Here is a 13,581-nt window from a genome sequence, read left to right on the forward strand (position 1 = left end):
TCAGTATGTGGGATTTTTAAAGGTTATTTTTAAATATAAGATAAAAAAACCCCAAATCAATCCATTTATACTTTTTTAGTTATGTAATACAATTAAAGGATTAATGCTTGAGGTAATGGATACCACATTTGCCCTGATGTGATTATTTATTGCATGCCGTTATCAAAATATCTTGTGTACCTCATAAATATATATACCTAGTATGTATCTACAAAAATTTAAGAAAAAAATTCCAAACCAAAACCACATTAAGGGATTCTCCTCAGTTAAAAATTTCTTCACTTAATTCTCTACTTCAGTCCATACAATCCTACTAAAACTGCATTTCCTAACAATTTAAGATTTGCTAGTTGCTAAATTTCTCTTCAAAGCATCAACACTATTGATCTCTAAACATGATACTTTATTGCATATTATAATGCCATAGTATTCTTTTTATCTCTCCTCTTCCAAACTCTTATGTCTCCTCCAATAACCCAGGTTTAGCCTTTCTACCTTTGTTTTTTCTTCATATTGTCTATGACTTTCATTCCTTTATTGCTTCAAACAACCATTTCCATTATATTTAAAAAGCAGCAACGGCCTCTCTCTCTCTTTTTTTTTTTAACAATTTAAAGGACAGATGATGCAATAATGTTTCATTTTCTCACACTCAAACAAAACACAAAAATGTTAAATGTTGAAAAAAAAAAAACTGGAATCCAGACATTTGCATTAAAAGTCCTAAGTCTTATACTATCTGTGCAACTTTTATCTCTTGGTACCCTAGTTTCTCCATCTGCAAAAATGATTAAACTAGCTAGATGACCTTTCTAAAGTTTTTTCTTCTTTAACATTCTAGTTCATATTTTTAAAACTGTTTACAACTTATGTGGCTCTTTATGGCCTTTATTCCCATATCTATGACTCTCATACAAAAAATGAGGGGATTCTTTAACTTACATAATATTTTAGACAAATGGTTTCAGAAGGATAGGTACTTGAGATTCTGTGAAAATAAGTCAATGTGCTCACTTGTTACCTAAAGAAAGAAAGCTTGGGCCGGGCACGTTGGCTCAAGCCTGTAATCCCAGCACTTTGGGAGGCTGAGGCAGGCAGATCACGAGGTCAGGAGATGGAGATCATCCTGGCTAACACGGTGAAACCCTGTCTCTACTAAAAATACAAAAAATTAGCTGGGCGTGGTGGCGGGTGCCTGTAGTCCCAGCTACTCAGGAGGCTGAGGCAGGAGAATGGCATGAACCCGGGAGGCGAAGGTTGCAGTGAGCCAAGATCGCGCCACTGCACTCCAGACTGGGCGACAGTGTGAGACTCCGTCTCAAAAAAAAAAAAAAAAAAAAAGAAAGAAAGCTTGGTAAACAAATTTTATTTATAGAGACTGTATTTTGAATCACCTCTTGATGATGGCCTTTTTTACTCCAGAACTTAAAGTTCAATTACTTTTTAATGTAAGATATCAATACACATTTTACTTATTCTTTCTTACATTATTATTTACAATAATTCTCATTTTCCCCCTTTGTACTTCCTATTTATATAATTATAAGCCTGCTTTAGCTTTTAATTTTGTCTGCTCATTTGTTTATAATTCATGTAGTTTGGTACATAGGTTTCCATTTTAGCATTTGCTAAGTTGTCTTAATCATCTGCCCTAGTAATATGGTATCCTCAAGCTAAATCCTAACCCTATTGGTCATGTGATTATTTTTTAAGGTGCGCTCTCTCTCTCTCTCGCTCTCTCTCTCTACATATATACAGTAAGCAAATATGCTTAATCAGAATAAAACCACAAAAATCAACTTTGATTTATAGAGATCATTCCATTTCTAGTCACTTTAATGTCCAAATAAGACAACACAAGTTTACAATAACAAAGATAAAATAATTAAGCAGGGCAGCAGAAATAAAAATTTAGGTTAATGAATTTTTATAAATGATCATTTGGAAACATATTATCTTGCTTCACCCCTAACTGTAGTCTCCAAATATTCAATAGTGTTGCCACCATTCATTGCTATGATAACATACCAAATATATTTATGTCCTTATGCCTGGTTAATACAGGTTTTTTTCTCTGCTTGAAATATCCATATGTTATTTTCTCTTTATTCATTTAGATTTAACTTACTCTTTTGGGTCCACAGAAAGGTTATACTGCCCCCCAGGGCAGAATAAATCACCATCTCCTTTTGCTTTACCACAGCATTTTGATTACAATTTCATTACAGCTTGCCATTTATTTTTTCTCTTATTATAATTATTTATTTTCCTATCCAAGTCCATTAGGCTACATGCTTTTTGAAGGTAAGTGCTGAACATGTGTTTTCTCTGGTACTTTCTCTTTCCCAAAATCAAACCCAGTACTGACAATGTCTTCTATTTTTGTCCATTAAGGTATATTGGTCTTTCATCTTCCTATTTTGACTCAAATATTTATAGTTTCCAAATGTACATGGTCTTTTAAATAATTATTTGTTTTACATATTGTATTTACATTTACACATAAATTGTCTACATGTAAAGGTCCCCTTGGAATAATAGCAGTAAAATTTAAAACTTGATTCCTAATTTGCTCAGTTGACTCACTTTGAACATAAACTATGCATTACCTGTCAGGATGAATTAAGTAATATTGTCGTTTTAAGAGAACTTCATAAAAATAGTAAGATAGGCATTCTTTTTAGGATTACTGCTAAATTATTCTATTCTTTAATGGATTATTTTAAACACAAAGTACTTAAATTATTTTTAGACAAATGACTCATTTGAAACCTAATCATTTTAAACACAACTAGGATTCCAGCAATATTTTCTATGTTGAATAAATGTCAGATCGCCTCATATATAAACAATATTAATTTTAAAAGTCTAAAATATGTTTAATATTGATAAGACAGCAACATATGGATTTTTAGAAATTGCTGCTTTAATATCTCTCCAGGGAGATTAACTTTTCTCAGAAAGAATTTTAATTTTAACACTGAAAATTAAAATTTTTGTTTTTAAATCTATAAATCATTCTCTAAAATTCTGTTACTTGCAATGGATACATTGCAAAGGTGCCATCAAATGCCTTATGAGTTATTTATTATAGTATCATTTAGTCAAATGTTGTCATGAAATATGTTGTAAAGAATAGTGTATACTGCTATACAAGTCCCTCACCATCCCTCATCCTAAGGGTAGGGATGGGGTGGCATCCCTACCCTTATGTGTCTAATCCAATGTCCTAATCTGGTTATCTTTCTCTACCATTATTATTCACTTAAAAAAACTACCCTGCCACCCCAAATTTAGTTATACTATTTCTACCTTCCTCTTCTAAGTATGTACTGGCAAATTTAACATTTAGAGATGTGCTATAGAACAAAACAAAGTTGGGAAAGATAAACCCATAAAACTAAAGGGTATGTTTTTGTATTGCAAAATAACATTTCAAAGAATGAGTCAACTAAAATGTTTAAGAAAAAATATTCAGTAGTTCAAAGGGAATCATTTTTAACTACTATAAATTAGACTGTAAAAGAAAAATACTGAATCTGATTCATAAAAAAGTTACAGTCAAGTGTATTATTTGATTAAGTCTTATTGACCTACAATATAAAAAATTCACTCAGTCCAGTAATATCAGGGCATTTTAAAGGCCCCGTTATCAGTTCAACATAATTTTGAAACTACAATTTGTTTTTGTTTTACAGCTAATGTTTCAATACTATTGTAACAATTTGAACAACAGAATCTATTTTAGACCTTCAAGGTCATTGACTTCTTAGTTAAAAACAAATTACAAACCAATTAAACACTAATTTTTCAATCTGTTTTCATCCAGCTAAATATGCAACTCAAAGCACTTCAACTATCAACCCTACTTGTGATGTACGTATACATTTCAAAGTAAAAAATCTTGAACTAACATCATTAACTGGAAAATTCTGTTCTATTTATTTATACTAACAACATTTTACTATTATTTCTTCAGACAAAATAAAGTTATCCCCATCAGATGTTTATCCATCTCATCTCTTGATTTTAATCCTTTCTCTCAGTTTTAGTCTCTTCCCTTATTTCCTTACAAATCCTGGACTCTGTGGTCACTGTTTATTTTCTAACCTTCAAATTGTCCTTTGCTTTCCATCCTTAAATCCCCAATTCTCCTTCAGTTCTTCAATCCATTCCTTCCCCCAAACAACCTAAGAACTGATGGAGAAAAATTATACAAGTTGTGTAGACTTGTTCAATAAAAATATAAAATTGGTAATTTCACCTCTGTCCCTCGACATATTTACCTATCATTAACTTACCTTCAGTTAGATCCTTTCCTAATCCCCTTCATAGGCTATCAAAAGCTTTTGCTACTTTCATCAACTGTCTACCCCACAGCCCGCTTAATTCTCAGTATATGTCCTGAGCTCATCCTTTATAGCCAGTTGAGATAATTATACAGATATGCCACTTCTTGCCTACCCTCAGATGTAACTTGTTACTATCTGAGGCCATATCCTTGCTTCCTTCTTTGCAATGTACAGAAGGAAATATCCCTCATTCTATCTAAAGCATTCTGTCCTGGATATTAATACCATATTGCGCAGAATTGGATGATACTGGTCTATCATTCATCCTTTCTGACATTTTTCTTCAATCTTTCCTGCTCCACTAGTTCCATCCCATTATCCCTGAAGTCTCTCCTAACTAAAAGAAAAAAAAAAAGTTCTTGACTCCGCACATCTTCTTCATGGAATTAATTTTTATCTCTAACATTAAATTTTTTCTCTTTTTTCAGCCTTCTTCTCCATACCTTCCTTATCAGCTTGCCCTTAAATAATGATTATCCTGGGTTCCAGTGTCCATTCTCTTCTCACTCTCTACCCTCTGAGTTTCTCACATATACAGGAACTCATATGTACCCCTGAGGGATTGGTTCCAGGACTCTGTTGGAAACCAAAATCCACGAATGCTCAAGTCCCTTACATAAAATGATGTACTTATACACATCATCCCACATCTTTTAAATTATCTCTAGATTACTTATAACACCTAATACAATGTAAATGCTATGCAAATAGTTGTTGTATTGCTTTTTGTGTTTTTTTTAAATTGTTTCTTTGTTATCTTTTATTTTTCCCAAATTATTTCTGACCCAAAGTTGGCTGAATCCATGGATCTGGAACCCATTAATATGGAGGGCTAACTGTATACCCAACTGCTTATGAGACCTCCACCTGAACATTTTTGAGACATCTCAAGTCAACTAATCATTTTTTTTTACAATTTTTCTAACCTTAGTACTTTTTTTTTTTTTTTTCCCTGAGACAGAGTCTTGCCCTGTCGCCTGGGTCAGAGTGCAGTGGCACGATCTCAGCTCACTGCAACTTCCACCTCCCAGGTTCAAATGATTCTCCTGCCTCAGCCTCCCAAGTAGCTGGGATTACAGGGGTGCCCCACCACCCTCAACTAGTTTTTGTATTTTTAGTAGAGACAAAGTTTCGCCATGTTGGCCAGGCTGGTCTCAAACTCCTGACCTAAGGTGATCCGCCTGCCTCGGCCTCCCAGTGTATTTTTTATCTCAGCTGGTAACACCAAAATTAATCAAAGTACTCAGTAACTAGAGTGTCATGCTAGAATCTTCTGTTTCTCTCACCATTGCTCTACAACCAATCAGAAATTCTTTCAATTTACTTCTTAAATTGCTTTATTTCACACCCTCATGACCACTGTTTAGTTCAGGCTTTCAACTCTCTTGGATTATTTTAGATAGCTCTCCCTCCCCTAAGTGATTTCCATAGTCTGGTCTCAATTTCTCAAATCCATTATCTATATAACTGCTATAATTAACTTACTAAAAATAAATCAGATCATAACTTCTACTTTCTTACTTCAAACACTTCATTACCTCTTTAGTCACTTTCTAAAGCCTTTTATGATATGACTCATGACTCTGCCTTCCTCCCTCCAACCCCTAAACAAAACCAATGTTTCAAACTCTCTTGAACACACGCCTGTGCAATTTAAGGTAATTGTTTGTACACTTTATTCTTCTGCCTAGAACAGCCTTCCCTTGATGTGCATACCAGATAACCTTAAAATGTAGCTCTGCTATCTCTTTCCTGAAACGTTTCTTTTTTGACTACTACTCCACAGTGATCCCCACAAGGCAGAGTTAATTGCGTCTTCCTCTGGCCTATCCCTGTACCTTATACTTGTTCCTAATACTCTATTACATTACATAGTTGACCCTGCTATAAAAAAACTCAGAATTTGTGTTTTTCATAATGGTATTCATGAATGATTCACGCAGAAATACACTATATTTGACACATTACTTTACCATAAAATAAAAGCATGTTGAAGGCAAGATTAGAAAACACTTTTACAAATTTTGAAAGAATAAATCAGGAATCCTTAATCAGAAATCCTTAATAAGAATACTATAACATTCAAAGAAAAAAAAATCACCTAAACAACTCACATAGAAAAAAAAAAAAGATACTCTAAAAATACACAGAGGTTAAGAGCACAGAATTTTTGTCAGAGTACACATATAATAATTAACACAATGCCTTGAAAACAACTGTATGTTTTTAAAGTTAACTGCTACTATAACTAACACTATTATTATTAAATTAAATAACCAGACATGGATGAATTAAAAATTGTTCTAGGTCATAAGTACTTTTGGTCTTGGTACTAAGAACTGTAGATTCCACCAAACTCCTTTATGTTTTTAAGGAAAAAAAATCACTTAAGAGTGATTTCTTATTATACTAGTAAATGTGATAAATAAATAAAATAAATAAAAAATTACTTCCTAAGTAATTTTAATGGTTCTTTCTCTAATGCAAATCCTTTCATCAACAAGAAATTCTACTGAAGAGATTTACCAACCTCTACTTGCTAAAAGTTTCCTTCTTACCACGTAGTAAAACAAATGCATCAAATGATTAACACAGCAAAATGCCAGGAAATTCTTTTCCTAAAAAGTTGTAAGTTCTAAAACAAGCTGTTTTTACCTTCAGGAGCATCTGCATCACATCTCTTTGGCACAGAAAGGGTTGAATTGCCTTTATGATTATCAGAAGTTATATTAGTCTGAAAGATAAAAATACAGTTAAAATATAAAAACCGCATTAATAAATACATTTGGATTTAAAAAGTAATCACTATGAACTGTATACTCTGTATACTAACTACATCTATCTAACATTCCAAAATGTAAATTTTGTGCAACATTGCTCTTAGAAGAAAAATAATTATGGTAAATTAAACATTAAGGCTTTTTGCAATAATCCTTTAGGTCCTGTGTTGAACAACATGGCTTCTTCCCAGAACAAACAAATTCCATTTTTAATACAAAGTATAGCATCTGAAAGGAATGCTATTTTCAGACTGTGGAACATGCAAAGAATATCTTTTGTCCAAGCAAAAGCATAATCTTCCTTCATTCCTTCACAGAAGGATGTTTAATAAGCATGACCTAGTGAGGTAGGTGAAGGGGATGAGGCAAGAAGAGAATAAAAAGGTATAAGAAGTGAGAAATATGGTTCAGGTGGTTTTCCAGGATGCTGTTTCCCAAACTCAGGTCATTCATGTACCTCCATCATGATCAGTGCTTTATCTGTTTCACCTACATTATAACTAAATATTTTTCAATGAAATAGCCTTTTAACACTCACCAATATTATGGATGGTACTGATTGAGGGTTGATAGGTTCGTTAGATTTTTCTTTCTAATTGCATGTTAAAGTAAAGAAAGAATGAAGGAAGAACAGGATAAAAAAGAAATGATCTGGGCACACTGATTTAATCATGAAAGACTCCACTAAAGCAATGCTTGATCAGGCCCTGAAACATAAATATGGTTTGAACAGTTAAGAAGTAGAGCAAAAGGTATTTTTAAAAACGGAAAAAAACTAAACAAAGTTTGAATCAGATATGGTCAGAATATTTTGAATCGTCAGAAAATCCAAACTTACTGTTCTATTAAAACTAAAAGCCACAGTTCGCTTTTGAGAGATCACCACCACCAATAAATCAGCATATGAGGATACCCATCATGTTAAAAGAATGTATAGTTATCTACATATAAAATTTTTATAAAGCCTCTTCTAGGGGATTCATAGTGCCAATGAACGGACATGCTGTGCTCACCAAAATGTTCTTTGGGAGCCATATTATTAAAATTCGTTAAAACGTTATTTTAGAGGAAGTATTTTGAGTTTTAATAAAGTACTAAGGTAAAGCTCAGTAGCTTAGCACCATGGGACCCATTTAAGAAACTACTGTAATGAAATTCTGTGTGCTGTTTCAAAAAAACAACAGTATGAAACAAATATAAATATGCTAAAAATAGAAATAAAAAACCAGTTTTAGCAATATTAAATATAATCTGATGAGCTAATATCTTATGCTAACCATCACAATTAAAATTTCATTTTAAATATCACTATCTTTAAAATATCAAAATAATCAAGTTTCAAATATTTCACTTACCTCTATTAAGTAATTTTGGCTTCCATACATAACATATTGGGGAGCAAGACTATAAATCATGTAGCTAGTGTGAAGGACAATAAGCAGAAGTATCATGCAGAGAAAAAGGAGTGCTTGGGGCCTGGTTCTACCTCTTCTGATTTTATATAACTGGAAAGAAAAGAGTGACAAAATTTCAGCAATATATTTCATTTATAAAGCATTAAATCCTTTTCTTGTGTTATGGGAAATGATTTACACAGTTCAATCAACCATTATTTTTCTTCCAAAGTAAATACTAAAAGTTCTTAATCATCCCAAATAATTTTAAGATTATTCACATGGTCTATTTCCAGAGAAATCTTCTAAACTTATTGTGTAACAGCATCTGTTAGAAGTTCATGGAGCTAACTGTGAACTACCTCTAGTTCTATCTAAAGATTAGAAGTATGAATTTAAACTACAAGTATCAGTAATATACTATGGTTTTATATAATTTTTTATAATACTGCATAAGAATAGACAATGTCATGTGTTTATAAACATCTATTTCTATGAAATACTCGTGACCTCCTTATACTTTGCTATAAAAATTAGTTTATGAAAAACTCTGATAATCTTACTAAAGAGCTTTTCACATTTATCTATACTAAAGGGAAATGAAAACACATGGTAACTGAAATATAAGGAACCAGGTAACTTGCTTCATTTCAATAGCATAGCAAATGCTTTTATTTTAGCAACTTAGGTATCACCTCCCTGTTTTATTACTAGATTGTAGTACACCACAATTGTACTATTGTAGTACAGACTCCAGTTCTAGATGGGATGACAATAAGATCATTCATAAATTTACATTTCCCAGGTTCTTTCACAGCCAGTAGTGGCCATGTGATAAAATATTAAACATGAAAAGGAAAGCAGAAGTCTGTTAGGGATTTCTGTAAAAGTCTTGTTTTATTGATATAATTGTTTACCCCTTTCTCCTAACTACCTTTTTCTTCACAGAATATGAACAGGATAAAAGGAACTGCAGCAGCCATACTACAATCATGACAGAGATACTCAAAGAATTACAGAGATATTGGATCTGACTTTTTGAGCTACTGAAGCAATACTAGATTCTTTTTTTCCATAGCAAGAAATCTTTTATTAGTTCAAGCCACTATTTAACTGAGTTCTCTTTTACCCACAGCTGGAAGTAGTGTCTACCTGATACAGCTTCATTTTAAAATTGTTAATTTATCTCAAAATAAGCATTTGAAGAAAATAACCAATGATATGGTAATCTTTACTAATAGGGAGGGCTATCTTTTGAGCTTCAGTGTATCTATTATATTCGAATGTGTTTCTACTAAGAAATAATATAACTTTTGGACCAGGGTTTCTCAACCATGGAACTATTGACATTTTAGGCTAGGTAAGTCTGCCCTATGCACTACAGGATTTTTAATAGAATCTCTGGCCCCTACCCACTACATGCCACTAGCATTCCCCAATTATAACAACTAAAAATATCTCTAGATATTGCCAAATGTTTCCGGGGGGCAAAATCACCCCCATTTAAGAACCACTGCTCTAGATAAAAAGTACTTTTATGTCAACATGAAGTGAAAAGGCTAGTATTTCTCTCACTTGTGGTATAAAGATACAGCTACTATATTCTAAATCTAAGATAATTTGTAATTATGGAGATCACACACAAAATGATGAGAAAAAAATAATACTGTAATATATACTTACTCTAATCCAAAAGAACCATATGCCAATATTTCGAATTCCTGCCATTGAAGTAAAAATAAAGTACATAATAATAATTGTTATAAGAATATAATCAAGAGGGAAAACCTGAAAAAAAAAGATGAAATTAAATTTAACATATAAACTATAAGCACTCTAACAGTCATATAAAATAAGCTAAAAACTTCATTATTCTCATCCGGCAAATGTTTACAGTATCAACCTTGATTTAGATTAGGCTACTGTGCTTAAAAAAAAATCCTCAAAAAACTAACAAGTACCAAACTATTACCAAAATTTTTAATACCATTATCTTAAGAAAAATACTAAAGCAAATTAAACTAAAATTGCATTTATCTATGAGATAAAAGACTTGATTAAATATTAATACCAAAAATAATTTGGAGAAGGTCACCTCATGTTATATAATATATCCCAAGTCAAATTATGTATAACATAAAAGTCCAGGAATATATCAATATGATATTTAAAGCAACATGTCAGTGTGTAAATTACAGGCAAATAAAAAGTAAAACTAGAAAATAATATAAGCATATGTCAAACTATTCATAGGTTTTTAGCATAATAATTTTATGTGCAACAGGATGTCAGAATGTTTGCTAGACTCTAGCATTTTATACTCTAGCAGCTACAGTATAAAATGATTGATATTTTACTTACTGTTTGTAGTAAAGGCAAAAGCATATTCAGTGGATTACTCAGGTTAGCTCCAAAAATTATGAAACCAGAATCTATTCCAGCTGAATGAAGAGCTTTATCTAAACTAAAAAAAATTACAAAGAATGAAATTTATGTTATACTATCAAATTTTCAGCAAATTTAGAAAAAATATAATTTAAGCATGCAAATACACCTGAGTCAAAGAAAACAATGGATAACAAATTAAACCTCACTTAAATATCTCACAGCTATTGTTCAATTGATGGAGAATAAAGAAACACTCTATTATTGGACGTTTTAGCCATTCTTTGAGTTAATGCTATAGAACACTTCAAGTAAAAAAGCTACTTAAGATGAACAGCCTACACTAATGGCATTCAGCAACAAAATGTATATTATCATAGAATTTGTATAAGTGCTTTAGAAAATGTGTCTACTGTACTTACTTTGACAAGAAGAGAGAAATTACAAACAGCAATGCAACTAAGATGAAAAATATTCCCCAGACGATCTAAAAGCAAAAATATATTCATTAAAATATAGTTCTAAAAGTTGATATTAAAAGCACAAAATCATTATATTCAATATGAGTTGCTAGAATATGACAATGATCTAACAAAAACAATCTAAGATACATTTTAACTTAGTATACAATTCCAGGCATTTATACCTGAATTTTCATTATGAGACTATTTGATTGAGAACATGTACATAAAAGAGACAAAGCATTTGAAAAGTCTTCACTAATAAGTAAACAAATGAAACTCTTTGTTAGACCAAATACAAAGTCTTTATTCTATTACACTGAAATGAGACTGAAAAGTACATTATGACTAACACACAGACACACACACACACACACACCCCAAAACCATGAAATGCAGGTTATATTACCCTGTTAGTTAAAATAGAAAATTTAGAACATTTTCCCATAGAAGTAATAATATATATAAATGATATATATAGTGGTTAAATTATATTACAATCCATAAAAGCCTATACAAGTGATACTATTCCTGAAACAGAGTACTAACAACACTGAAAAAATTGTCAGGTAAAACAATGTTTCTGTGGAAAAAATGTCCTAAGCACTGTAAGTAGTGGAACATATTTCTCCCAATTGTATGAACTTTATATTAAAGATGGTAGAAAAAGAGGAAGAAAAATATTATAACTGAGTCTCTAATGAAAAGTTTCAGAATATAAAAGAGTTGAAATCTATGTTAGCAAAAACCTAAGCTCTTTTTCCCCGAAATCTTCCCCAAGTTGCGGGGACAACTGGGCTAAAGAGTTGTCAAGACCAGATCCAAAAAGAAGAGTCCCAGTAAGCACAGTTAAGTGTGTTGGGCTCCTCCTTTAACTGGAATTGATATAAATAGATCAATGAATGTTATGAAATCATGAATGGTAGGGAGATTTTTTCATCTTATTTCACAGGACTGTGGAAGTAAATTTTAGAATCCTGAGAGAATAAAAGAAGTAACACATGAAACTACCTAGCCTGAAAAGATGATTTTTGGAAGTAATTTTGGACCTGTGCTCTGGGGAATTCTTCAGTTATGGCTGGGTGCCTTTGGGGCTCACTGGGAAGGAGAGAGTTGACGAGAGGGGTCCAAGAAGGCTATAGTCATCTCTTGAAAAGAGAGTGATATTGCATGTACTATTTTTCATGCTAGGATTCCGCAAGAGAATTCATTATTTAAAAAGGGTTTCATTGCAAAAGATTTTGAAGTGACTCCTTTATAGTAACAACTGCTCATTAGTAGAGGGTATAAAGGAGTTATACTTTTTTTTCTACTGGATTCAGGCATCTATATTTGGTACTGTGGTGAACTGAAAAGCAACACAGACTTATACTTAGGATTCTCAAGTGAAAAACATTCCTTCCTAATAGCTGTTAACAAAAAATAGTTTGTAGCAGTATAACTATGAAATGCCAATTAGTAGTAGGAGAACATGATATAGAAACAGCATTTGAAGTTAAGATTCCCTCTCTTTGGTATCCATTTTGGCAAAAAAAAAAAAAAATTTAAAATTAAAAAAAAAACCCTCTTAGCTATCTTCCAAATCTGTAGAGATGACTGACCCAGAGTTAGACTGCTTAATCAGTGACTTAACAGAACACAGAACAAATGTAAAAAATACAAATATTTTATAAAGACCAAGAAAACTATACATACTTAAATACTAGAACTTAAATTAGTAGTTACAAAATCATGTCAGTGATGACCACATTGGGTTGACCTAAAAGCTACATATTATACTCTAGCTATAATGCCAATTTTGAAATAAAAATTAAACTATAGAGGTAACATCAATAAAAATGGAATAAGACATATGCAAAAACAATACAAAGAATTCCACTATACACTTCACTCATATTCTCCAAATTTTAACATGTTACCTTATCATTCTCTTTTGAACAAGTCTTAATTATTATATATCAATTTCTCTTGAACGAGGTCTTTCATAACCTTGACATTTTGTAGAGTCCAGGGAAGTTAATTTGTAGAATGTCTCTCAATTTGGATTGCCTATTTTCTCATGATTATATTTAGATTATGCTTTTTTCCAGAAATGACACAGACAGAGAAGTGTTGAGTCCTTCTCAATACATCATATCAAGTGGCACAGTCATGTCTATTTGCCCCATTACTGATGAGCTTAACTTAAATCATGTAGTAAGGTGGTTTC

At 32.0% G+C, this 13,581-nt stretch overlaps 1 protein-coding gene across 4 annotated transcripts in view; it reads right to left on the reverse strand.

Annotated features, from left to right (window-relative positions):
* Nucleotides 1–13,581, reverse strand: part of LMBRD1 (LMBR1 domain containing 1) — a 123,001-nt gene that overhangs the window by 16,546 nt on the left and 92,874 nt on the right. For all 4 annotated transcript variants that reach the window (NM_018368.4, NM_001367272.1, NM_001367271.1 and 1 more), the window contains exons 10-14: nt 11,334–11,398; nt 10,888–10,990; nt 10,210–10,314; nt 8,488–8,637; nt 7,008–7,086 (exon numbers count right to left, since the gene is read on the reverse strand). In NM_018368.4, the coding sequence (NP_060838.3) occupies nt 7,008–7,086; nt 8,488–8,637; nt 10,210–10,314; nt 10,888–10,990; nt 11,334–11,398 (502 nt within the window). The remainder of the gene's footprint in view (nt 1–7,007; nt 7,087–8,487; nt 8,638–10,209; nt 10,315–10,887; nt 10,991–11,333; nt 11,399–13,581) is intronic.

This window comes from Homo sapiens, chromosome 6 (genome assembly GCF_000001405.40).
Source record: "Homo sapiens chromosome 6, GRCh38.p14 Primary Assembly".
In the NCBI taxonomy this organism is placed as follows: domain Eukaryota; kingdom Metazoa; phylum Chordata; class Mammalia; order Primates; family Hominidae; genus Homo; species Homo sapiens.